This window comes from Homo sapiens, chromosome 9 (assembly GCF_000001405.40).
Source record: "Homo sapiens chromosome 9, GRCh38.p14 Primary Assembly".
NCBI lineage: Eukaryota > Metazoa > Chordata > Mammalia > Primates > Hominidae > Homo > Homo sapiens.
The window spans coordinates 128,369,264-128,394,316 of record NC_000009.12 but is presented as its reverse complement, the minus strand read 5'-3'; the positions used below and the strand labels follow the sequence as shown (position 1 = coordinate 128,394,316).

The 25,053-nt window shown below is 53.5% G+C and overlaps 1 protein-coding gene, 1 long non-coding RNA gene and 2 other non-coding genes across 7 annotated transcripts, besides 6 other annotated features; 2 read left to right on the top strand and 2 right to left on the bottom strand.

The window, feature by feature from the left end:
- Positions 578-1,283: an enhancer, noted in NCBI's record as "NANOG-H3K27ac-H3K4me1 hESC enhancer chr9:131155313-131156018 (GRCh37/hg19 assembly coordinates)". NCBI's record gives its function as "activates a minimal SCP1, AML or CMV promoter by ChIP-STARR-seq in naive and primed H9 embryonic stem cells {active_cell/tissue: H9 hESC(naive and primed)}" and the evidence as "EXISTENCE:reporter gene assay evidence [ECO:0000049][PMID:30033119]".
- On the top strand, positions 816-2,306 carry MIR219A2HG (MIR219A2 host gene). Its single transcript, NR_186569.1, has one exon. It is a non-coding gene; the product is annotated as an MIR219A2 host gene (long non-coding RNA).
- MIR219A2 (microRNA 219a-2) lies at positions 1,603-1,699 on the top strand. Its single transcript, NR_029837.1, has one exon. It is a non-coding gene; the product is annotated as a microRNA 219a-2 (primary transcript).
- MIR219B (microRNA 219b) lies at positions 1,609-1,696 on the bottom strand. Its single transcript, NR_039815.1, has one exon. It is a non-coding gene; the product is annotated as a microRNA 219b (primary transcript).
- URM1 (ubiquitin related modifier 1) lies at positions 2,301-22,998 on the bottom strand. 4 transcript variants are annotated; one of them, NM_030914.4, is made up of 5 exons: positions 22,902-22,943; positions 16,211-16,281; positions 6,420-6,501; positions 5,008-5,056; positions 2,301-4,651 (listed from the first exon to the last, which is right to left on the bottom strand). In NM_030914.4, exons 1-5 carry the CDS (start codon positions 22,934-22,936, stop codon positions 4,583-4,585), a joined length of 306 nt encoding a protein of 101 aa, NP_112176.1. In that variant the 5' UTR covers positions 22,937-22,943; the 3' UTR covers positions 2,301-4,582. The 4 variants fall into 4 exon arrangements, 3 of the variants coding, with proteins under 3 accessions (NP_112176.1, NP_001129419.1, NP_001252511.1); NR_049743.2 differs by having other exon boundaries at positions 2,309-4,651; positions 16,211-16,322; NM_001135947.2 differs by having other exon boundaries at positions 2,301-5,056; positions 22,902-22,998.
- Positions 7,961-8,605: an enhancer, noted in NCBI's record as "H3K4me1 hESC enhancer chr9:131147991-131148635 (GRCh37/hg19 assembly coordinates)". NCBI's record gives its function as "activates a minimal SCP1, AML or CMV promoter by ChIP-STARR-seq in primed H9 embryonic stem cells {active_cell/tissue: H9 hESC(primed)}" and the evidence as "EXISTENCE:reporter gene assay evidence [ECO:0000049][PMID:30033119]".
- Positions 10,539-11,183: an enhancer, noted in NCBI's record as "OCT4-NANOG-H3K4me1 hESC enhancer chr9:131145413-131146057 (GRCh37/hg19 assembly coordinates)". NCBI's record gives its function as "activates a minimal SCP1, AML or CMV promoter by ChIP-STARR-seq in naive H9 embryonic stem cells {active_cell/tissue: H9 hESC(naive)}" and the evidence as "EXISTENCE:reporter gene assay evidence [ECO:0000049][PMID:30033119]".
- Positions 22,745-22,844: an enhancer, noted in NCBI's record as "active region_29080". NCBI's record gives its function as "activates an Ori minimal core promoter by ATAC-STARR-seq in GM12878 lymphoblastoid cells {active_cell/tissue: GM12878}" and the evidence as "EXISTENCE:reporter gene assay evidence [ECO:0000049][PMID:35858748]".
- Positions 22,908-23,771: an enhancer, noted in NCBI's record as "H3K27ac-H3K4me1 hESC enhancer chr9:131132825-131133688 (GRCh37/hg19 assembly coordinates)". NCBI's record gives its function as "activates a minimal SCP1, AML or CMV promoter by ChIP-STARR-seq in primed H9 embryonic stem cells {active_cell/tissue: H9 hESC(primed)}" and the evidence as "EXISTENCE:reporter gene assay evidence [ECO:0000049][PMID:30033119]".
- Positions 23,772-24,636: an enhancer, noted in NCBI's record as "H3K27ac-H3K4me1 hESC enhancer chr9:131131960-131132824 (GRCh37/hg19 assembly coordinates)". NCBI's record gives its function as "activates a minimal SCP1, AML or CMV promoter by ChIP-STARR-seq in primed H9 embryonic stem cells {active_cell/tissue: H9 hESC(primed)}" and the evidence as "EXISTENCE:reporter gene assay evidence [ECO:0000049][PMID:30033119]".

Below are 25,053 nucleotides of genomic sequence, written 5' to 3'. Positions count from 1 at the left end.
GGCTGGGCTTTGGGGGTGAGAAGCTGGCTATGTATTTACCCAATAGACTGAGAACCGTCTCTGCCAGACCAGGCTGGGGGTGGGGCTGGGGGCGCATTAGACCTTGGACAGAGCCCCTGCTCTCCTGGATGGGTGGACTGTCCAATGGAAGAGACAATGACAAGACAAGCATTCACAGATTCCACGCCCCTCTCACACCCACCTGCTCCCCTCCCCCCACCCTTGCTGCTAGCCCCGAGGTACCCAGGAGCCTGCTGGAGCCTGGGAATCAAGCTCTGGTCCTTGGTCGGGGGAGGGGGCAGGCTCCAGCTCCCGCGTGGGGTGTGGTCTCCAGGGATGGCATCCTCAGCCCAGGGGTGGGGACTGTACCCCCTTCTCCTTTATCCTTCAGCATGGTCTTCTCAGGGGGTGACCCTCTGACTTCCAGACTGTTCCCCCTCACCCTCCAGTGGAAGCCCCTGGGCAGGGGCCTAGGGAGGGGGCTCCAGAGGCCTTTGGTTTCCATGCAGCTGGGAGACAGGGGGTGGGCCGTAAAAGACTCTGGGGTGCCCTGGGTGCTCTTGGAGAGCTCAGCCAAGGCCGGGGCCTGAGTCAGGTCCACGGGAGAGCAGGGCCGGGATGCTGGTGCCTGGCCCAGGAGAAGGGAGGGGGCGATGGGCAAAGGGGTCAGGCCGAGGGAGCAGGCGGGGCATCGGGAGTTGAGGGTGCCGAGTGGGGGTGGGAGGACGAGGGGTCCGGCCGGTGCAGAGGGGGAGGCGGCCCCCGGGGAGGGGCACGCTATGTCTTTAAGAGCTGCCTGAGCGCAGGTTGCAGCTGCCTGGCCAGCCCGAGAGACAGCGGAGATTCATTACCCGCCGACACAATGACCATTGATGGCCCCGTGGCGTTATTCAAATCCAGTACCAATTGCAGCCGAGCCCCTTTCTCCGCGCCAGGCCCGTATTGTTGGAGCGGCCCACTAAAAGCCCGCCCCGGCCCCGAGCCGCCAGAGGCGCCTGCTCGGGTTCAGCCTTGCGCCTCGGCAGCCCGCCGGCTCCCAGTCCGGCTCCACGGGCGCTGCAGGTGACCCGGCGGCGCATTCCAGCACTCCCCGCCGCCCGGGCCACCGCCGCCACCGCCACCGCAGGCGCCCCGGCCGCGACTCAGCCACAGGAAAGCGGAGAGCGCCCGAGCCGGTGCGTGCGCGGGGCTGGGCGGGGGCGGGGGACCCACGAATCCAGCAGCCCGGACCCCGGGCTCGGAAACGCGACCCGGCCTGGGGCTCCTGCCTTCCGGATTCCCGGAGATCCCAGGCTGGGGGCAGGGAGAGGGGAGTCGGGGTTCCCCAGGCCAGACAGAGGAGATTCCCCCTCGACCTGGGGCGGCGCTGAGACCCAACGCGGGCCACTCTGCGGACTCCGGGCCGCGATCGAAGGAGCCACGCCAGGGGCGATGGGGATCCCCGCACAGGGTCAGGATCCGCGTGCTTGCTAGTCCACCTTACCGCCGGATGGGCAGCCGCTGCTGAGCGCCTGCTAGGTGGTCCGACGCGCAGCTCCGAGCTGTCCTGGACTGGCGCTTTTTAGGAGCGAAGGGGAACCCCGCAGGAGACCAGGGCCCTGAACTCAGGGGCTTCGCCACTGATTGTCCAAACGCAATTCTTGTACGAGTCTGCGGCCAACCGAGAATTGTGGCTGGACATCTGTGGCTGAGCTCCGGGCGCAACAGGGGCGGGGGCCCCAGGGACAGGGCTCAGCGCGGGCGAGACCTCTCGGGGCGGCGGCTGGCTGGCCCCAGCGCGAGGATCGCGGTCCCGGCCCGCGCGCACAGAGACGCCGGTCCCTGCCACCAGCGCCGCCATCCGCATCCTCGTCCTTCTTCCTTCTCTGCGGGTGACCAGTCCCGGCCGGCAGGGTCCTTCAGTCGATCGCGTCGTTTTTCCTCCTTTCAAATTTCGGCCGGAACGAAGCCGGCACGCAGCGGCGGGGCCGAATGTGGTCCGCCCTCAGCCCAAGCCGCATGAAGTCGGGGGTGAAAGAAGAGGCCGGCCGAATGCGCCCGCTAACTCGTTTCGCAGTTGTTCTAACTTATCACCCCAATACTCCCTACCTAAACAAAACAAATCCTCAACCAACCCCTAAATCCCAAACAAACCAACCCCTCCCGCAAGCCCCTCCGGACGGACCGATGGGCTGAGCCTCCTCCAGCCGCTGCCAGGGTCCGACGGGCAAGCGTCACCAACGATGCGCTCCAGCCCGGCAATCTCCTCGGCTTTGGAAATAGAATTTGGAAAAACGAATCCTTTTCATTAAAGAAAAATCTTCGGAGATAGCGGGGTTTTATTTGTTTATTTCCTCAAAAGCAGGGATCAGGAGTTGCTTGGGAGAGGGGCAGTTGGGAGCTGCTGGGGGCTGAGCCCAGGTCACCTGTCCCCTGACCCCTTTCCAGTCTAGGGCTAAAAATGACCTGAAATCGTCTGGTGTGCCTTGGACATGGCCAATTTCAACCACAGTGCTTGCACCCCCATGTGCCAAGAAACCCGGTTTTCCCAGCACCTCCTCCTGCCCTACTCTTCAGTATTAATTGGGGTGTGCTGGGAGAAGGGATATTCCACATCACACCTCCCACTCTCTGCAGCCAGGGAAACGGATCCTAGCGCCCAGTTTCCAGGACCTGAAATCTAGTGTGTTCCAATCAGGTGCACTGATGGGGCCGCTCCTGCAGCTCAGGGGGCTGCAGATGGGGAGGGACCTCCAGGTTACAAGAATCGGACAGGCTGACCTTCTAGAAGTGCAGCTGTAGGGAGCTGTTCCAAGTCTCTTGCTCTGTTCCCTAACATGGAGACCCTGACCTCAGGAACTAGTGAGGGTTGGTCACACAGCCTTTCTGGACAGCACTCAGACCCCAACACTGGCCTTAATTTGCACCCAGACCAGCTCCTCCCCATAGTCCCAACACGGCTGCTCCCACTCCACACAAGCCCAGAGGGTCTCTACCTGCAGTAGTCCTGGAGAAAAGCCCACCAGCCAGCAGGTCATCTACCCCCAAAAGAATGATGTGCACACCCCATCCCCCAACACTGCTGGGACAACCTTTTGCCACTTTCATCTCCACAGGGTGAGAGAAATTCCACCTTAAATTATTGACATAGAATGAAAAGCAACATTTTGGGTGGGATGATGCTTTTGGTGGGATGTTAGCACCCTAATTCTTTTTGGGGGTCTCCCTCCAGCAAAGCTCTTTTCTCTAGGTCATGGAAAGGAAAGACCACAGAAAGGGGGCTCAGCAGTCTTATCTATGCTACCCTCATTTTGGGTTCTGAGGCTGCTGGCTGCAGCTGGTGGGACAAAGCCTTGGACAGACGGGTGGGGATGCGTCCCGGGACACAGACTGGTCAGCACAGACTGGCTCTGCCACTCCCTTCTCCAGATGGCTCTATTAGACTACCCCCTCTCAGATTGTCTGAGTGTTCACCCCCACCCCTCTTTTGGGTGAAGGGTAGCTCTGAGGCCCTAGGCTGAGGATGGAGAGGTTGTATCACAGACCACGGCTGGGGGGATATGAGGTGCCACCCGTTTCCAAGGATGAAGCTCCAAGCAAGGCTAGTAAACAACCTAGTCTTTTATTTGCCCAAGGCCGGCTGTTGCAAGCACTGAGGCCCCAAGACTTCCAGAAGGGAAGGGGAGGAGGGGCAAAGCACTGTGCCTACCAGGTGCTGCCTGCCCCGTCCTGCTTCCTGCAGGAGGTGGGAAGGGAGAGAAAACGGACATTCGCGCCATCAAGTATCTCCCCAGTTTTCAGCCACTATATTCAGTTGTGGAGGAGGAAACTGAGGCACACGCATCCCCCCAGGCTTCTACTTGCTAGTCCAAGGTTTAACTTACTCCCTCCCCTCATCTCTACCCCCAGCAGAATGAGCTGTAAGCAGCCTGGGGAGGGTCTCAGGAGCCCATCTGGTGGCCTGTGGAGCGGGGCAGGCCAGCCAGGGTCAAGGGCTAGGGGTGGGGGGAGCAGGAGGGGTGTGGCTGGAGGAGCAGCTGCTGGCGGTGGGGGGAGTCGGCACTCAATAGGGGACCCCAGCTGGGGTTCCATACTGATAGCAGTGGGGGACAGGCAGAGCCCTCAGCTGTACAGACAGGGAAATTGAGGCTGAGAAGCCTCCAGTCTTTGGGTAGGGAGGGGCCTTCCTTCAGCTACTCAGGTCCATTCATCTTCCCCATGAAGACGCTGGCTCTGGGGCTGGAGCGCCTTGTCAGCGGCCACTCCATGTTTAGACTGAGGTACAAGGAGTGGAAGGCAGCCAGGTCACCTGGCCACAGAGCCTCCTTCAACTCTTGACAAACTGGAGGGGAACCCTCCCCCACCACAGCTGCTGGAAAAGGGAGTGCTGGGCTCTGGCGCCTGTCTGCCTTCCGCTGCTCACGTGCTTGAGAAAGGCTCATTTTTAGCACCTGGCCTCTTTTCCCTGCCTGGAGGGAGCTTAGGGGACAGAGCAGGGAAGAAGGCAGGCAAGGGGGACAGGGAGACCTGGAAGCAGGGCCCAAGGGGATGTCTGATTGCTTCGTTCTCCCCTCTAAGGGTGCCCAGGCCCAGAGAAGGGCCCTCAGCCGCCGTGCAGAGTGGAGATGAAGAGGACGCTGTCCTGGTCCTGAAGCTGGTAGTCCAGCTCACCCTGGTGCGGGAGAGAGGGGAGCGGGAGACCCTCAGGGCCACCTTCCCAGGTCCACCCCAGGAGTTGGGAGAACAGGGGCTGAGGACTGGCTGCTCTGGAAGAGACAGACTCTACCAGAAAAATGGGTATCCTATACCTCAACCTGCAAATCTTCAGGATGGAGGAGTACTCCCATGTCCCCAGCTACCCATCCCTTCCTCACCTGGAGTGGGAGACTCCAGCAGCCTCAGTGTGGGGCTGGAGTGGGGCGGAGGATTACCCAGCCACTCTATATGTGCCTGAGGAGAGGCCCAACGCTTTCCCACTGAAGCAGCAAGGGCAGGGGCTGGGGGAGGGATGTCCCCCAAGGTACTGACCAGTAGCTCCCAGTCGGCATCGTTAATCAGCACCAGAATTCCTGGCCGCCTGTGGGAAAGATGGTGGTGAGTAGCAAGGAGTGAGAGGCAGGAGGCAGTAGCACAGAGGAAGAGAGGCTGAGAGCTTTGGGCTGCAGGAGAGTGTGCTGAGGAGCCTTCCTCCTGGGGTCTGGCTAAAGATATCCCAGGAAGGGGAGGCTGGTCTGAGTGTGAAGGAAACCAGGTCAGTCATGCATGGTCTTTGTAGCCAGATGGAAAATGGGTGCAAATGCCAGCCAGCACCACCACCCAGACCATGGGCAGGTCATTTTGTTTCTGAGTATCAGGTTCCTCATCTGAAAATGGGATAAGTGATACTGTCTAACCCACAAGGCCTATACGAAAACGAAATGAGCTGATATGTGTGGAGTGCTTGCCACACTGTCATGGTAACCATTAGTAGGACTTTTCCAGGGGTCTAATCTTATTCTCGTTAGCCCTGGAAAAGAACTTCGGCTTTTTTTTAGGCCTCTGCATGCCCATCCTGGAGAGAAGGCTGTTTTGCCTCTTCCGAATCAGTTGCCATGCCACATGGCAATGCTCACGTGCAGTCCTGCCTGGCATAAGGCAGGGTAGGTCAACATTTGGTCAGGCAGCTTAGCCTGGCTCCCACTGGTAATGGCCCAAGGAGCACTGCTGGCCTTAGAGGTGGCCTCCAGGACCACTGGACCATGACCTGAAGGAGGGCTGATCCCCTAGGCCTGATCCCTTAGGACCTGACAGTGACCTATGCTTCGAGGCAAATAAGCGAGCCTCACAACTGCACCGGCCACCTTTCACGTGGGGGACTGGCCTTGTTTTAGAAGTAACTTCGTGGCAACTGGAACCTGGTCCTTTCCAAGGAGACTGCACTGGGCTTCTATGGGGTGTCCCCAGTGAGTGTGTGTGCATGTGCATGGGTGTGTGCACGCACAGAGTCAATGACTCCTTGGAATTCTAGACCCGTGCTGCACTGTATGGTAATCTACTAGCTGCATGTGGCTATTTAAATTACAATGAAATAAAACAGAATATTTAGCTCTTCAGTTGTACTAGCTACGTTTTTTCCTCAGCACTTTCTGTGTAGAGAGTAACTGAGGCCCAGAGAAGCGAAGTAAGTCGCCTAAGGTCCCACAGCAAGTCTGTGGCAACCAGAGGGCAGAATCCAAGTTTTCTGAGAAATTCACCAGGCTCCTTTCATCTGGGATTTAAAAAATCCTCAAGAGTTCGGTTTAGTAACAAGAAAACTGAAAACAGATCTCAGAGCTGGAAGAGTTAGGGAGGAGGAAGGGGAGAACCGGATTCAGAGAAGGCCAGGACTGAACCCGAGGGTGGGGGCTCAAATATCCGTCCCTCCCTCCACCTGCTTCAGGGAAGGGAGGAGTGGGACTCACACGCTGTCTCCCTGGATGAACAACTCTGGCCGCTCTTTTAGCAAATTCTTCTTGATCCAGATGAGCAGGTTCCGGATGTCCCCTGGAAAGGAATGCACAGAACAAACTCTTGTCAAACCCAAATAGCACCTGCCCACCCCCAGAGCCTTGCCTGGCCCACAAGGAAATACACACGGTGTTTAGAGGGCTTCTTTTAGACCAGGCTGTGATAGCCCATGAACTTGTAGATTCCAAAGGTGAGGAAACAGGTTAGGACAGGCCAGTGACTTGCCAGGTGGATCTTCAGAGAAAGCTGCACCTGGCACTGCTGAAGTCCTGGAGAAGAGGCAATGGGATTTACCTATAGTGGGGGGATTCAAGGCAGACGGCGGGAGGACTGTCGCATCTAAAGGGTTAGGAGACAGGCCCCTACCCACAAGTCCTGGAAGCCAGTCTCCAACTGCCATGGCTGGACTTCTGAGAGGACCTTGAAGAGCCCCCTCCACCTTTATCTCTCCAGCCAGTCGCAGATGGGGAGGATTCGGCTTTGCTCTTGGAGGGGTCTGCATATATTTCCCTTTGTGAGGGGAAAAAAACAATTGCTGAGCTGATAACATCAGTTAATTTCCTCTGGCAGAGGGAGAGAAGGATCATTCACCAGCTAGGGATGCTGACAAATCCCTGCTCCACTCCCCTGCCACCACCCTGTGCTTCCAGAGCCCTCCGCGCCAGCGGTGGCCAGAGGTTCGGGTGACAGGGCCTCTCCAGCTCAGCTAACACTGAGATCTGCCTCCTTGTGGTTCTGGGGGAGCCACCAGCCTCCTTGTATGTCATGTGGAGGCTCAGAGCCACCTGTCTTCAGGGTCACCTGTCCTTTCCTAGGGGCAGCAGTATCGGGCCACAGCACACAGAAATGTGGCTCTATAAACACCTCGAAGCCTATGGTCCTCAACTGTCCGCCCCCGAAACAGGGCCATTCTCCTGAGGCTGAGGAGTTCCTTCTCATTCTCTTAGACGACTTGAGGATAAAGGTCCCAGGGAGACAACTCGCCTCTGGGAAGCCAGCAGACAGGTTGGGGTTAAGCACCCCATCCCGAGTCAGCGTCCAGAGGGGTCTGCTGTCCTGGACTAATGCCTGAGACAAAGCTCAGGGCTAAGCTGGAGAAGTCCCAGGTGAGGCCTTGATTTTCCTGCCTGGAGTCCAGAGTGTACGCAAGGGAAAGGTGGCTAGGACTCAGGGAGACTTTGCTCTGCCCTGTCTGGGCCCACAGTGTGGCACGCACACACGGCCCCAGCCTTGGGCAGGGAGTTAAGGCACGCTGGCTGGCACGCGTGCCCCCTCGCTCTGACAGGCCTGCAGCCTGGATGGTCCACTTTGCTTGGTGCCAACTTGCCTGGATCGTACGCCAGCAAAGCACAGGGCCACGGGCAAAGTGTCCATGGACTGAGACTGCCGCCTTTCCATTTTAATGTCTCCTTTTAAACAAAGCAGATCAGAGTCTTCACGGTCCCTGGAGCAGGCATGGGATGGGGAAAATGCTGCCTCCAACTAGCTGCAGCTCACTTGGACTCCTGGCTGGGTTCCTCCCTGAGGTCTGGGTTTCAGAGGTTTCCCCTTGGCTCTGAATCCCCTTGGCCTCCATCTTGGTACTGTCTGGTGGGCCGCCAACCCATACATCTTGTGGCTGCTCGATAGAGCCACCGGGGTCTGACACATCCATCAGCCAGCCCTAGCGGGCGGGGGTGTGCCTGTGTGTGTGGAGGCGGCGAGAAGGTCTGGGCAGTGCCTGGCCTGCATGGAACCAGGACTCAATTAGGGGACAGCCCTGACTCCCTCCAAAGGGAAGGTGCTTCTGCTCCACTCTGGATAGGCCTGGGGGTGGGGGAAGGGCTAGTGGTCATGGTGGAGTCATCCAAACGATGGCACCAGCATGGAGTCCCAGAGGGACAAGCTGGGGGATGAGTCTGCTGCCCAGTGCGGGCTCATTTATCATGATGCTCCTATTTGCTGAGGTCACTCCCTCCCTCTTCTGCCCGCCCCCCACCCAGGCCTGCCCACATTTTTGATAGCCTGTTACCATGGTGAGGCTACCGCATCGCCACTCGTATTGTTCCCCCATGCCTGGATTTGGGGGTGGGGAGAGGGGGAACTCATGGCTCCCTTCGCAGGATGCAAGGGCCACTCGGCCTGGCCTGAAACACACCCCCAGGGACATCTTGCTAGGCTTGCTGAGGCACAGACAATATGCAAATAGCCTCCAAGCCAGATGGTCGGCTTCCAAAGGCGCCCAGGGGAGGAGGAAGGGTTAAGCAGAGTCAGGGGCTGGTGGCTTGGGGATGGATGGCTCTGTGATAGATAGGGGCTGGAGACTCTCACTTTCACCTTCCCACTCTGTGTCCTCTTGTCTTCCCTCTCCTACTAGGGGCGGTCTCCCTCCTGGGATCCCGTGTGATCATGCAGGAGAAAAATATTTATTGAGCAGCTACTATGTGCAAGATGCTAGGGAGATGGTAGTGGGCAAGAGGGAAACAGAGCTACCTACCCTCAGGGAGCTAGAGGTCAGCAGGGGAGACATACCATACTTAATTAGTTGTGACAAATGCTATCTCCTTCATCTGGGATCAGGAGAGGCCTGACTGAGGGTGTTAAACAGTGAAGCTCGGGTCTGAAGGATGAGTGGGGTGGGGAGCATTCTGGACAGAAGGATAACACATGGGAAGGCTGGGGCAGGATGGAATGGGCAGGTTCAAGGCAGCAGAACAGAGAAGGTAAGAAGCTCAGCAGGAGATGGGGCCAGGCCTTGAGAACGGGCCTGCTCCCGTAGGGGCCTCTCCCTCCCAGTGAACCTCAGCGGTATCTCCCAGGTATGTGCTTCCTGGGAACCAGGCCCCACTGCCCAGGCCTGTGCTTCCATGTGTCTCTGACTCAACACTTGAATCACGATCCAGCTCAAATGTATGGCACTACCATTACCATTACTTGAGTGGACAACTGGGGAGGTAGGGAGGGAAGGAGGGAGGAAGAAAGAGACTAAGAGTATGGACCCTGGAGTCAGACAGGCCTGGTTTTGAGCTGGACTCCATCACTTACTAGTTCTATTACCTTAGGTAATAGGAAGCCTCGGCTTCCTTTTTTTGTAAAATGGGGATGTTAACATTGTCTCATAGGGTCATTGTGGGGGATCAAATAAGACGATATATACAAAGCTCTCAGCACTGTGCCCTGCATATCAATGCTGTAATTACTCCAGGATCCAGAGGAAGAACCTATACCCCTCGCGCTCTCTGGGTTTCTGCACGCTCTGCCCAGTGGCCTGGCACCTCAGCTTTAGAGGGCAAGGTAGAGCCAACCATTAATCAGATAGTGCTGGGACCGGCTGGGGTTTTCTGTGGCATCCCGTATCTTCCCATCAGAAGCTGGAAAGGGAATGAGGGGACTGCGAGAGTAGTGAGGGGTCCTAGATACTGACCTTCCTTCTGTGTTAGATGTTTGAACCCACAAGATGTTGGGGTTGGCCAATGCTCCCAGTACAACCCAGGTGGTAGGAATGACACTCTGAGTCTGTAGGTGCTGGCGGCCAGGCTGCCCCCGGGCACACAGCACCAGAGGAAGGAGATGGGCACTTAATACAAGGTTTCCAGTGCAGGATACCTTGGCACCTGGCCTGCCCATCGGGGGCAGAGCAGGCAATGAGAGCTGCTGCTCTATGCTGGAGTGGTTGAGTTCTGAGTCTACAGCCAGAGGACCTCGGCTGTGTGCTCGATGGCCTTAGCTAGGAAGTCACTTCATCTTGCTGTCTCAGTGTCATCCTCTGACAAGCAGGGATAATAATCCAAACACCAAGAGCTGCTGAGGATTACGTAAGGCACAATGCCCAAGGCAGGCCTGGCAGTGTCACACACACAGGACACGCTCAACAGATGGCTGCTCTGAGCTGTAAGCCCACAGTGACTTCAGATTCCTCATCCTCTGGGCTCCAGTACCTTCTAAAGGCTGCTGCCAAAGGGAGGATACCCACTGTGGAGAGCACCGACGCAAGCTCCACCAGAATCCCTCGCCCCGGTGGACTTGTCCTATTCTGGGGGACACTGACTGCCCACTGTGGGAGGGCCCCAAAGGGTGTCAGCCTCAGCCTCGTGGGACTGAAACGGAACAACCTCAAAGTCGTATCTGATATTGACTCGCAGGCGTAACAGACCCTCATCCAGCCTCTCTTTGAACACCTCCAGGGACAGGAGGTCAGCTCCTCTGTGGAGCGGCTCTGATTGTTAAGAGCTCTTTTCTCCCAAGCAGAAATCTGTCTTCCTGTCATTCCCACCCACTGGGCCTGAATGGTCCACGGGGACCATGCCAACAAATGCACCCCCTCTTCCCCAGGATGGCCCTTCAGATTTGGAAGAAAGGATCCCCTAAGTCTTCTCTTCCACAGGTTAAACTGCCTCTGTCCCCACCAAGTCCACCAGGCTCCAAGACGGCTCTTCGGAGAGCCCACCCCAGGCCTCAGTTGAAAAGGGAAAAGAAAGAGCTGGCAAGGGGGGAGTAACAGAGGAGAGGGGGTGGAGGGAACATCAGAGGGGCCATTTACAAGTGAATGGGGGTAAGAATGGAGCAGTTTGTGGGCTAAACTGGCCTCAGAAGGAGGTTTACAGATGTGCGAGGGGACCTCCTCATTGTTTAATTAAGCAGAAAGTGGATCTTTTCAAAAGCAATTTTGCACAGGGACTGGGAGGGGTGTGGGGAGGAGGGAGGTGGAGAGGGGATCAGCAAACAGGCCCTGAGAGCAGAGAAAGGAACAGCTGGCCCCAGAGAGGCTGTGAAATGCATGCTAAGCAGTTTAAAGCGCCCAGGAGCTCCTGCAGCTCCTGCCCTCCCTCACCAGCCACCCTTTAACACAAGTGGAGCAGGCAGAGGGGGCACAAAGGCAGGACAGGGGAAGACAGGCAGGGAAAGGTGAGGCGGCCATGTCTACACTTGGGGCCTGGGCAGGGGGCCTTGGGTCAAAGGGATGCTTGAATCACAGAGGCCAACTCCCAGCAGCCGCAATACCCTAAGCTGGTGGGTGCCTGCATGGCCGTTTCAGCGAGATGGCTGTTAAGACATCCCTTCTCTCACACAACTTCTTACTGGGTCAGCACACTCTGCTTCACCGAATTGTATATACTTGGATCTTGAAGAAACTTTTCTTATAGATGTCAAAGAGACAACCAGCTCAATAACATACAGAGCGAGCCCAACCTCCCATCTTACAGATAGGGAAGAAAGAGTCTGGCAGGAATAAGTGATGTGCAACTGCGCGTGCCAGGCTTCCTCTCTCGCAGTCTCACTCCCTCAGGCCTTGCTCATCATTTCTCCCAAATTGGCTGGGTTGGAAGCTCTCCCCTGGCCTAGGAGCCACGAGTTCCCTCATTTGTGAGGCTTGTCACATTCTGAAATCTTACGGCTGCTATTATTTCTGCTGGAACCTCCAAGACTCGCTTGGCCAAGTGGCAGCCCCTAGGCTGGGAAGTCTGCCAGATGACATATCTGGGCATGGACTTGGGGGAAGGGTAAGACTCTCCTAGCAGCACCAGGCCCCTGACCCCCAGCTGGGCTCACATGTGCCAGGGTGAGGCCTGGCAGCTGCTAACCAGCTCTGTTGGTGACCTAGGTCACCAACCTAGGTTACCATGGGTCTGCTGTGTGACCCATGCCTCTGGGCACAACAGGAACCAGGTGTAGGGACTCACAGCAAAGGAGCCAAAGACTAAGTGGGCCATTGTGCCTTCCCTCCCACTCCCCTCCTTTCTTCCCAGAGTGGGGATAGGCCCCTGCCTGTTCCCTGAACAGTGGCTGGAAGATGAAGGATAAAAAAATCTGAGTCCCAGCCCAGCCTCCCTACTTGGGTAACTCTGGGCAGGCCTCAGGTCCCTCCCTCCTTCTCTTTCTCTTTTAGGGGTCTCTTATCTCTTGGGGTCATCTGAAAGTTGAAATAAGTAGTTGTTGAACTCATGAATAAATAAATGAAGGAAAGCGTAAAAACTGGAAAATGTAAGATGTTAGAGTAATTCAGGGAGCCTCTTGGGATAGACGGTGATGGGTTAGTGGCAAAGCGCCAGGACTCTGAAATTCAGTGGCCTGAAAGCTAGTTCTGAATCCCAACCCTGCTATTTAAATAACTCTATGACTTGGGGTGAGACCCCTGACTTCTCTAAATTTTGGTTTCTACCTTTTATTTGTTTTGTTTTTTGTTTTTGAGACGGAGTCTTGCTCTGCGCCCAGGCTGGAGTGCAGTGGCACGATCTCGGCTCACTATACAACCTCCACCTCCAGGGTTCAAGCGATTCTCCTGCCTCAACCTGGGATTACAGGTGCCCACCACCATGCCCAGCTATTTTTGTATTTTTAGTAGAGACAGGGTTTCACCATGTTGGCCTGGCTGGTCTCTAACTCCAGACCTCAGGTGATCCGCCTACCTTGGCCTCCCAAAGTGCTGGGATTACAGGAGTGAGCCACTGCACCTGGCCTTGGTATGTTACCTCCTTAAAGAGACCTCTGCTGACCACCTATTAGTCCTATTCAAGTACCCTTTGGTTCTCCTCATGCCAGTTACTAAAAGTTGTAATGACGCAGTTATACATTCATTTGTTTACTTGTTTATTCCCTGGCTCCACTCCCATTACACTGCTAACTCTACTAGGGCAAGGACCACATCTATTTTGCTCACTAATGAATATCCAGTAACTTAGTACAGTGATGGCACAAAGAGGGCATTCAAAATAGATTTGCCAACTACATGAAAGAATAAAGTACTTTGGGGCTGGGCGCGGTGGCTCACACCTGTAATCCCAGCACTTTGGGAGGCCGAGGCGGGCGGATCACCAGGTCAGGAGATCGAGACCATCCTGGCTAACATGGTGAAACCCCGTCTCTTCTAAAAATACAAAAAATTAGCCGGGCGTGGTGGCAGGCACCTGTAGTCCCAGCTACTTGGGAGGCTGAGGCAGGAGAATGGCGTGAACCCGGGAGGCGGAGCTTGCAGTCAGCCAAGATCGCGCCACTGCATTCCAGCCTGGGCAACAGAGCGAGACTACGTCTCAAAAACAACAACAAAACAAACAAAAAAAAACATACACAAATTAGCCAGGTGTTGTGGTGCCTGCCTGTAATCCCAGCTACTTGGGAGGCTGAGGTGGGAGAATTGCTTGAACCCAGGAGGTGGGGGTTGCAGCGCGCTGAGACTGCACCACGGCACTTCAGCCTGGGAGACAGAGCGAGACTCCATCTCAAAAAAAAAAAAAAGAAAAGAAAAAAAAAAGAAAATTTGTGGGTTTTCATGTCAGACAAACTCCACAGGAAATAAATAATAACTTGTGATATTTTAATAAACTTCCAGGCAAGGTCTTTGAGACTGAATCTTTGAGAAGCTTCTTCTGAGAGCACCATGTGCCCTCCCAAGGCTGCATGGCCATCTGTCAAACTAAGAAACAGTCACCTTTAGCACCCCATGTCTTCCTCGACCAGGGACACACAATCCTGACATGAAACCCCAGCCACATATCCCCTCCCAGCTCAATGTGGGCAGTGACCTGCTCCTCAGTAAGTGTCCCCCCCCCAGCCTCCACGTGTGGCAGACAGACCCCACCCTGTGCCACTGCTCTCCAACCTGAGGGAGGGACAGAGAGGTGCGGCAGCCAGTGAATCTGAGCAATAATAATTGATTCCTGGCAGATGTGTGTCCAGTTCCAGAAGAATCCTGCCAAATCTCACTTGACCATTTTCTTTTTTTCTCCCCATACATATTCTGCTTATGTATTTTTTTTTTCTTTTGAGACAGGGTCTCACTCTGGCACCCAGGCTGAAGAACAGTGTGTGATCATAGCTCACTGTAGTCTCGATCTCCTGGGCTCAAGCAATCCTTCAGCATCAGCTTCTAAAACAGCTAGGAACACAGGTGCATGCCACTATGCCTGGCTAATTTTTTATTTTTTTGTAAAGACCAGGTTTTGCCATGTTACCCAGGCTGGTCTCAAACTCCTGGGCTCAGGTAATCCTCCTACCTCAGACTCCCAAAGTGTTAGGATTACAGGCATGAGCCACTGTGCCTGGTTTATTTTATTTTATTTTATTTTATTTTTTTTTGAGATGGAGTCTCGCTCTGTTGCCCAGGCTGGAGTGCAGTGGCATGATTCGGCTCACTGCAACCTCCGCCCCTTTAGGTTTAAGCAATTCTCGTGCCTCAGCCTCCAGAGTAGCCGGGATTACAGGCGCATGCCACCACGCCCAGCTAATTTTTTTGTATTTTTAGTAGAGACGGGGTTTCACCATCTTGGCCAGGCTAGTGTTGAACTCCTGACCTCGTGATCCACCCGCCTTGGCCTCCCAAAGTGCTGGGATTACAGGCGTGAGCCACCGTGCCCAGCCAACACCTGGCCTATTTTCTTATTTCTTTTTCTTTTTTTGAGACGGAGTCTTGCTCTTGTTGCCCAGGCTGGAGTGCAATGGTGCGATCTTGGTTCACTGCAACCTCTGCCTCTCAGGTTCAAGCAATTCTCCTGCTTCAGCCTCCCAAGTAGCTGGGATTACAGATGCCTGCCACTGCGCCAGCTAATTTTTGTACTGTTAGTAGAGACGGGGTTTCATCATGTTGATCAGGATGGTCAGGAACTCCTGACCTCGTGATCTGCCCGCCTCAGCCTCCCAAAGTGCTGGGATTAAAGGTGTGAGCCACCACGTCCGGCCTGACTTGACCATTTTCTACCGCCCACCTCCAGGAACCTCATTTCCTGTCTCTTAATATAACTGATGCCCTCTTCTCCCCAGAAGTATCTCAGTCATAGGTGGAGACTGGAATCCCATCCCTGAGCCCTTGCTAGAACCCACTGCTAAGGTTACAGTGAACACCTGCCATATCCGGTCCCCAGCCCCTAGGCTATCCTGACAGTTACCCAGCCAAAGATCTGCAAGTTCATTCTTTTTTTTTTTTTTTTTTTTGGTGACAGAATCTTGCTCTGCCACCCAGGCTGGAGTGCAGTGGCACGATCTCGGCTCACTGAAACCTCTGCCTCCCAGGTTTAAGCAATTCTCCTGCCCCAGCCTCCTGAGTAGCTGGGATTACAAGCGCGCACCGCTATGCGTGACTAATTTTTTGTATTTCTAGTAGAGATGGGATTTCGCCATGTTGGTCTAGAACTCCTGGTCTCAAGTGATCCGTCCGCCTCGGCCCCCCAAAGTGCTGGGATCACAGGTGTGAGCCTCCACACCTGGCCTGGGACTGGCTTTTGTTCATGTCTGTCTCCACAGTGATCAGCACATGGTCTGCTACACAGAAGGTGCTCAGTGTATATTTGTTCAAGAAAGATTAACAAGTTTTTTTTTTTTTTTTTTTTTTTTTTTTTTGAGATGGAGTCTTGCTTTGTCGCCCAGGCTAGAGTACAGTGGCATGATCTCGGCTCACTGCAACCTCCGCCTCCCAGGTTCCGGTTCAAGCAATTCTCCTGCCTCAGCCTCCTGAGTAGCTGGGATTACATGCACGCGCCACCATGCCCAGCTAATTTTTGTATTTTTAATAGAGACAGGATTTCACCATGTTGGCCAGGCTGGTCTCGAACTCCTGACCTTGTGATCCACCCACCTTGGCCTCCCAAAGTGCTGGGATTACAGGCATGAGCCACCCGGCCCAGCCGTGTAGACTCTTGTTTTTATTCCTCTGCCTGCTAGAGAGGCAGCTTAGCACACGGATGCAGAACACAGGCCTGAACGGGGCTGAGTGTTCCCCATGGACCAACTCCTGTTCAATGGCCCCAAGAGAGGGGTTCAGAAAGCCAATACTCACAGGGTTCCTCCTGTCCAGGCAAAGTGACTCGATGTTTCTTAATACCGTCAAACAGGAGCTCCGCACCACCTCTGCAAAGGAGGACCAGAGAAAAAGACAGCCAGGTGAGCTCCTGCAAATAGGAAGAGGTAGCGGAAACAGAAAACTGAGGATAGGGCTGGTAATGAAGGCCGAGAGAAGCAGAGACTAAGGTGCAGAAACACCTTGGGTGCAGTGACTAATTCTTTTTCTCCCCCTTTCTTTCTTAGAGACAGGTTCTTACTCTGTCGCCTATGCTGGAATGCAGCAGTGCAATCATAGCTCGCTGTAACCTTGAACTCCTGGGTTCAAGAGACCTTCCTGTTCAACCTCCCAAGTAGCTAGGACTACAGGTGCATGCCACCATATCAGGCTACTTTTTATATTAATATTTATGTTTATATTTAATTTTATTTTACTCTGTTTAGTCTCACTCTGTTGCCCAGGCTGCAGTGCAGTGGTGTGATCTCAGCTCACAGCAACCTCCGCCTCCCAGGTTCAAGTGATTCTCGTGCCTCAGCCTCCCGAGTAGCTGGGACTACAGACATGAGCCACCACATCTGGCTAAGTTTTGTATTTTTAGACAGAGGGTTTCACCATGTTGGCCAGGCTAGTCTCAAACTCTTGACCTCAGGTGATCCGCCCACCTTGGCCTCTCAAAGTGCTGGAATTACAGTCATGAGCCACCGCGCCTGGCCCATATCAGGTTAATCTTTAAATTTTTTGTAGAGATGGAGTCTTGTTATGTTACCCAGGCTGATCTCAAACTCCTGGCCTAAAGCAATCCTCCCACTTCAGCCTCCCAAAGCACTGGGATTACAGGCACAAGCCACTCTGCCCAGACCCAGTGACCAATTCCTAAATATGACTTCTAATGTGGCAAGGTAGGATATAATTTTTACTAATAATCAAGTACCGGCTAGGTGTGGTGGCTCACACCTGGAATCCTAGCACTGTGGGAGGCCAAGGCGAGATGACTGCTTGAGGCCAGGAGTTTGAGATGAGCCTCAGTGAAATAGAGCCTTGGTGACATAGCAAGACCCTGTCTCTATGTAATTATTATTATCATTAGGCACCCGGGAAATTATTATCTATTTATTTTTGAGACAAGGTCTTGCTTTGTCACCCAGCATGGAGTTCAGTGGCACAATCACAGCTCACTGCAGGCTTGACCTCCTAGGCTTAAGCAATCCTCCCACATCAGACCCCCAAGCAGCTGGGACTACAGGTGCATGGCATCACACTCAGCTAATTTTGTACTTTTTGTAGAGATGGGATTTCGCCATGTTGCTCAGACTGGTCTCGAACTCTTGAGCTCAAGTAATCTCCCTGCCTTGGCCTCCCAAAGTGCTGAAATCAGAAGCATGAGTCACTGTGCCTGGCCTATTTTTATTATTTTATTTTACTTTTTAAAAAAATTTATTTATTGAGACAGAGTCTCGCTCTGTCGCCCAGGCTGGAGTGCAGTAGTGCGATCTTGGCTCACTGCAACCTTCGCCTCCTGGGTTTAGGCAATCCTCTGCCTCAGCTTCCAGAGTAGCTGAGATTACAGGCACGTGCTACCACACCTGGCTAATTTTTGTATTTTTTTTTAATAGAGACAGGGTTTCACCATTGTGGCCAGGCTGGTCTTGAACTCCTGACCTCGTGATCCACCTGCCTCAGCCTCCCGAAGTGTTGGGATTACAGGCGTGAGCCACCGTGCCTGGCCTATTTATTTATTTTTTGAGACAAGGTCTCACTCTGTCACCCAGGCTGGAGTGCAGTAGCGTGATCTCAGCTTGATACAACCTTAACCTCCTGGGTTCAAGCAAACCTCCCACATCAGCCCCCAGGTAGCTGGGACCACAGGCACGTGTCACCACACCTGCCTAATTTTATTTTTATTTTTTGTAGAGACAGGGTCTCCCTATGTCGTCCAGGCTGGTCTTGACCTCCTGGGCTCAAGCAATCCTCCCAAAGTGCTGGGATTAGAGTTGTGAGTCATCATGCCTGGCTCTGTCTCTAATTATTTAAAAAGAAAAAAAAAAAATCAAGTACCCAAATTTGCCGACTCTTGTTTTTACTCCTCTGCCTTCTAGAGAGGCAGCTTACCACACAGGTGCAGAACACAGCCTTTGGAGCTGCCGGCCCCGATGTGAAGCCCAGGCTCCACCTCTCCCTATGTTGAGACCTTAGATGTGTGACTCAATCTTCTTTTTTCTTTGTTATTAAAATACTTTGGGGGCCAGACACAGTGGCTCACACCTGTAACTCTAGCACTTTGGGAGGCTGAGAGGCGAGGGAGGATTGCTTAAGTCCAGGAGTTCAAGAGCAGCCTGGGCAACATGGCAACACCTTGTGTCTACAAAAACTACAAAAATTAGGTGGGCATGGTGGTGTGCGCCTGTAGTCCCAGCTACTTGGGAGGCTGAGGTGGGAGGATCACCTGAACCTGGGAGGTTGAGGCTGCAGTTAGCCAAGGTCATGCCACTGTACTGCAGCCTGGGCGACACAGTGAGACCCTATCTCAAAACTAATAATAATTTAAAAATATTTTATAACATAGTGAGGTCTCACTCTATTGCCCAGGCTGGTCTTGAACTCCTGGGCTCAAGCAATCCTTCTGCCTCAGCCTCCCAAAGTGCTGGGATTATAGGTGTGGGCCACCATGCCTGGCCTTGACTCAATCTTAAGCTTCAGTCTTTCCATCTGGAAAAATGTTGGGGAGCCACTGTGAGGCACTCTGGAGACCCTGTGCATCTAGGGGTTTCCTCTGGCCAGATGATGGTTTGAATGCTCCTGCCCATGCCACCTGCTGCTGACCTGGTGGGTACATCACAGTGCTGGAGGCTGAGAGAGTCCATGAGGCCTGGCATCAACTAAGAACAACTGTTCACATCGCCTCACCATTTATAAGATGTTCCTCATCTCATTTCATCCTCAGGGAGTCCCAGGGAAGAAGGAAGGAGGTAGATATTATTTGCTCACTTTGATAGAAAAGCAGACTCAAGCCTAGAGAGGTTAAGCAACCAACTTGTCCAAGGTTAGAGAGGCAGGGGCTGAACTATAATTTCAGTCTAACTGATTCCTGCTTAGCACCAGCAGACTGGTCAGAAAAAAACAGGACTTCCCAAAGGTCAGAAAGCCTCTTGAGGGCAGAGTTTGGTTCATTTCTGTGTCCCAGCACCTGGCCAAGGGAAGGCGGGGACTGCAGAGATGATTGGAGCCAAGTCCAGAAGCTGAGGCTTCTGAGATGAGCGCCAGGGCTCTTTCAGCGCCCCATGCTGCTTCTCCCTCTGGGTCTCCCAATTCCCATCTCAGACTTCTTGTGGATCTTAACTGAAAAGGCCTCACCAGACTTTTGAAGAATGAGATGTCTTCCACCCCACCACCCTTTCCCAATTTCAGGGAACAGAGATGTCCTGAGACAGCCCGCTGGGAGGCAAAGGCAAGGCAAGCATTGTCATGGGGAAAACATGGGGCGACTGTCATCCAAACAAGGTCACGCTTTGTTGATGCAGAAATGTGGAGGGGGAGAGGAGGCCCATCTGTGGCCGCGCACAGGGCCATTTCAGCTGCAAGCCTGCACAGAGCCTCCATTTATTCCCTTCCAAGAGCCTCGTTTTCTCCTGGGTGGGGGGTTGGCACATGCAGCAGCTGGGGTGGGGGAGGGTGACAGGCAAGGGGCTCAGGAGTTGGGGGTCAGAGAAGAGGGATGGGAACTGAAGGCACTGGGACTTAGGCAAACAACCAAGACTGGCCAAACCTGGTGGTGCCAGGCTCAGAGGCCGAGGCTGTTTTTCCCTTTACAAGCGGATGAAGGGAGAACCAGTCTCGCTCAGAGAGTGACCTGTCACTGCTGAATTCACTGGCCCTCAAGGGAGGGGTTGGCATTTCTGCTGTCAGCACATCTGGAGTGGGGGAAGGTGCATGCCCAGCCTCAAGAGTGATTCAGGGAGGCAGACAAGGGGCCTGTTCTAGCCCAGGAGAGACCAAGGCCAGACTCTCTTATGTCTTATAAGATCTGCTATTCAAACTCAACTGACATATCTCCATCTTCCTTCAACCCCCCCAATTCTTGGTGGATGTGTTTGTAGATACCAGTGACAGGTATAGATATTCTCAAAACCACCTTCACCTTTTCTGATGTATCTTCATCTTTTAATCTTCTGTATATACACATACATATACACGTATATATATATTTTGTTTATTTACTTCCTCTCCACCTGCTGGGCTGCAAGCTCTGCCTAAAACAGGGCCTGGCACATGGTAGACACTCAACAAATATCTGCTAAAGGAAAGGAAATGCCCATTTCTCCCAGTTCTTCTCTGACCTCAATGACATTCCCTCCTTTTGCCAATACCTCCCCAACTTGGGAAGGAGGAAGAGGGGTGGGACGGAGAGAACTCCATATCTGGGCCTTTACAACATGGACCACAGGGACACAAAACACAACTATATTACATACTTTGAATCCTGCGTGACCTGAGAAAACGCTCTGCTGAGAACAATTCAGGGGGAAGACAAAGGGTGGCAGACGTGGTCACTGACAAGAAGGAAGGTGTTAGAGGCCTTCCAGAGGGTCTCTGGAGGAGCTGGTGGGGCCAAGAGGACTACATCTGCTCAGGAGGGAGACCCTTCCAGAACTGGAGTGGGAGTGGGGCCACTAAGGGACAAAAGAGAGAAAATGAAGGGCGTGTTAGCCTTTGCAAATTTGCTCCAGTTCTGGATAAGGGTGAATCATGTCTGCTAAGATACATAGGAAATGAAAGAAAGGTCAGGGCAAAAACGTGCATCAACACAAGGACAAAGAGAGAAGGAACCTGGGTTGAGCATCATGTTGGGCATTCCTGAGAATGCTGCAATTTTCATGGAACGCTGTGCTGTGACAGGAGGTGATAGAAGGTGGGTGGGTGGGTGGGTGGGTGGAGGAATGTTGTCCTGCCTTGCCAGGGGTCATTATTGCTCTTGGAGGTAAGGGAGACTGAAGTTAGAGATGATTGGGTCAGAAAAAGGGCAATTGTGCTGGTTTGTAAGCTCTGGAGAGCAATGGCCCCATCTTCCTCACATGACTTCCCCACTGAGCTAGCACAGTACCTAGCAGAGACATTGTTGATAAACAAAGACCATGTCTGACTCATGAGGATGAAAGGCAAGTTGTCTGCAGATAAATCTTCTTTTTTTTTTTTTTGGTAGAGATGAAGTCTCCCCATGTTGCCAAGGCTGGTCTCGAATTCTTGGGCTCAAGCAGTCCTCCTGCCCAAGCCTCCCAAAGTACTAGGATTACAGGCATGAGCCTCCATGCCTGGCCCAGATAAATCTTAACACAGCAGTCTGTGGCTTCTCTCTTTCCAGCTCTGCTGAGGCCTGTCAAGGAAGCAGGGATCCTCCTAGAATCCCAGGCTTTGGGGAGTGTAGCTGGGCCAAGGGTCAGTGAGGCAAAACAGTGAGGAGTCCAGACCAATACAGTTCTAATTGGATCCAAGCAGCCAGACAATATCAATTAAAATGCACTTAGTCATGAGACTTACCCCCCTTCTAAGGGGCAGAAATGCTGAACGCTGTAGGGCACGGACAGACTTCTATTTATCTTTGTATCCTCAGTGTCTGGCTTGCTGCCCGGCACATGGTAGGCACTCAATAAATGGCTGGTGAATGAACTACCCAATTAAGGGAAAACATGAAAGAAATGGGAGGCATCCAATGAGAAGAAAGGCACTGGGCAGAGGTTTTAGATTCCCATCCCAGACTTTTCCTGTCACATAGACCTTGGCTTATCTACACACACACAGGCACACACACACACCTACCTATTCCACACACACACACACACATCCCTACCTATTTCCTCTTTTCCACGTGATACTGTAAAGTACACCACCCATCTTTCAAGGCCTGTTTCTTTGCCTTCTCTCTAAGCTCTGCAGTTTCCCTCAGCTTTGAAACCATATGACAAACCTGTTTGTAGGAAGCACAAATAGTGCCTTGGGTAGACTTCCTCCCTGCTCTGTGTTTCTTCAGTAACTGGTGTGTGTCCCAATCTCTGCATTTTTCATCTTGTGTATACTATACTGTCCCTGTTAGTTCCCTTCAGTGTGATTTCTTATTTGTCCCCGTGTCTCCACCTGACTCCAGTTCTGCAGAAGGCAATCAGCAAGTTTACTGACTGTCCTGAAGGAGGCTCAGGTCTGTTTACCATCCCCAAGTCTTAGGAAAGAAAAAGAAAAAAGTCCCGCCCTGGCCACTACATCCCACGAGAAACAAGACCTTAATAACAGTGTAAAAAGAAACTGCTGCCCAAAGAATGAAATCAGCGGGTGGAGGGTGGTCCTTCTAGGTTCTAGGAGCTCAGATGCCAAACAGATGGGATTGGTCCGAGATAGGAATGGAAAAGAAGAGAGAGAGGCTGCCTGCTAACAGTCACGACCTCCGACTCCGGCGGAGCACAGGGCACCGAGTGGTACACAGAGAGCATTTCCCTCCCAATGTGCGCCTCTATTTCCGGACAGACGGCCTCACTGCCAAGAGAGACTGGCCTCTCAGACTCTCCTAGGCGGGTAGCGTAGCTCACAGCGGGCACTGGGACACCCAGTGATTCGGCCGTGTCAGGCCCCACGGCAGAAGGAAAGGAATTCTGGGCCCGACGACTTCAATCCATCCCCACGGCGCCCCAGCTCTGTGACTCACCCGAACTCCACCTCCACTGACAAGGGCGCAGCCATGTTGAGGAAGCCGAGCTCGCAGGAAACTCCCCTCAACTTCCGGCGCGCCCGCAAATTTCCGGGCGTCTCCGGGTGCCGCGGACGGAAGAGGCGGTGCCCAGGGATCCAGCTTCGTCAGCTGTTGGAGGAAGTCATCGAGGGGAGGGGAGGGGAGGGGAGGGCAGCGGAGGGAAAGGGGTGGCAGAGGGACTATCACCGGCGCTGTTGGGGCTGTGAATCGGTCTCCTTCCGTCTTTCACCGACTGGGCTCAGAGACCCAGGGTGGGAAGCGCCTTGTACGGGACCACAAGCAGGCGGAGGAGAGCCCCCAGGTTTTTTGCGACGTGACCGTGAGCCACGTAGCTGCTTATCTTGCATGAGTTAGAATCTCTTCAGTCTACACACCGCTTGGGCCAGCCCATCTACTCGTCTGGTTGGAATTATAAATGACTCCCAGATCTTTATTTCCGACCCAGAATCTCTCCTGAGCGGGCGACTCGCTATCCAGCCGCCCCCTTTGCTGTCGATTTGGAAGTCACTCGTTCAACAGCTGTTCATTGCGCCTCCCTGTGCCAGGCATTTTGATCGGTGCTAGTGGTAAAGGGGATGGGCAAGGTTCCTGCCTTTAGGGCACTCACAGTCTAGCGGGGAGACTAACTGTAATCAAATAAGCATACTAAGACATGTACAACCTCAAACTTAAATAAAGGAACTGAAGTTATAGGAACTTCAAAAAGAAAACTGAGTAGACTGGACTTGCTGGGCTCTAAAACCTGAGTAAACTAGGTGGCTGTGAGGGGAGAGAAACCTCTAGGAGCATTCCAGTGAGGAGGACAAAAGGCCCAGAGGCTCTGGGTGAGAACATGCTGGAACATGGAGAGGAAGGTGGAAGTTAGGGAGCCTGACTTTCATCCATCTAGAGAGGGAGCTGCAAAGGTGCTCAGGGGCCAACCCCTGCCTTGTAAGCAGGTAAACATTTCAGTCTCTAGGAGCAGTGGGAGACTACTGAAGGGTTTTGGGAGACAGTGACATTTTAGAATTGTGTTTTAAAATATAATTTCTGGCTGCAATATGGAGAATGATTTGAGGGGAATAAGGAAAGAGACACGGAGACCACTGGAGCCTGTTGCAAAAGCTCAGGGCAGGCCGGGCGCGGCGGCTCAGGGCAGGCCGGGCGCGGCGGCTCACGCCTGTCATCCCAGCAATTTGGGAGGCCGAGGCAGGCGGATCACGAGGTCAAGAGATCAAGACCATCCTGGCCAACATGGCAAAACCCTGTCTTTACTAAAAAAATACAAAAATTAGCTGGATGTGGTGGCGTGCGCCTGTAGTCCCAGCTACTCGGGAGGCTGAGGCAGAAGAATCGCTGGAACCCGGGAGGTGGAGGTTGCAGTGAGCTGACATCGAGCCACTGCACTCCAGCCTGGTGACAGAGCAAGACTCTGTCTCAAAAAAAAAAAAAAGCCCAGGGCAGAAATGGAATGAAGTTGGCCAGGCACAGTGGCTTATGCCTGTAATCCTAGCACTTCGAGAGGCCACGATGGGCGGATCACGAGGTCAGGAGTTCAAGACCAGTCTAGCCAACATGGTGAAACCCTGTCTCTACTAAAAATACAAAAATTAGCCAGGCATGGTGGCAGTCTCCTGTAATCCCAACTACTCTGGAGGCAGAGGCAGGAGAATCCCTTGAACCCAGGAAGCAGCAGAGGTTGCAGTGAGCCGAGATCGTGCCACTGGACTCCAGCCTGGGCGACAGAGTGAGACGCTAAAAAAAAGAAATGGAATGAAGTAGACGGCCTATGGGTATCTAAACACCAACACTTCCAAAACTGAACTCAGCATTGGTAGAGGATGATGGTGTAGCCTAGTGGTTAAGGGCAGAATGATGTAATAGTTAAGATCTAGGAGTTCAGGTGGAATGGGTGTGGCGACTCACACCTGTAATCCCAATGCTTTGGGAGGCCAAGGCAAGAGGACTGCTTCTGGCTGGGAGTTTGAGACCAGCCTGGGCAACACAGCAAGTCCCTATGTCTGTAAATGTTTCTTCAAAAATCAGCCAGGCATGGTGGAGTGTGCCTGTCCCAGCTACTCAGGAGGCTGTGAGGGGAGGATCACCTGAGCCTGGAGGTCAAGGCTGC

Coding starts and splice junctions, on each gene's coding strand:
- URM1 (NM_001135947.2), bottom strand. CDS start 22,936: ATGGCTGCGCCCTTGTCAGTGGAGGTGGAGTTCGG. Junction 16,282..22,901: donor TCAGTGGAGGTGGAGTTCGG/GTGAGTCACAGA, acceptor CCTCCTTTGCAG/AGGTGGTGCGGAGCTCCTGT. Junction 5,057..6,419: donor TTCATCCAGGGAGACAGCGT/GTGAGTCCCACT, acceptor TCTTTCCCACAG/GCGGCCAGGAATTCTGGTGC.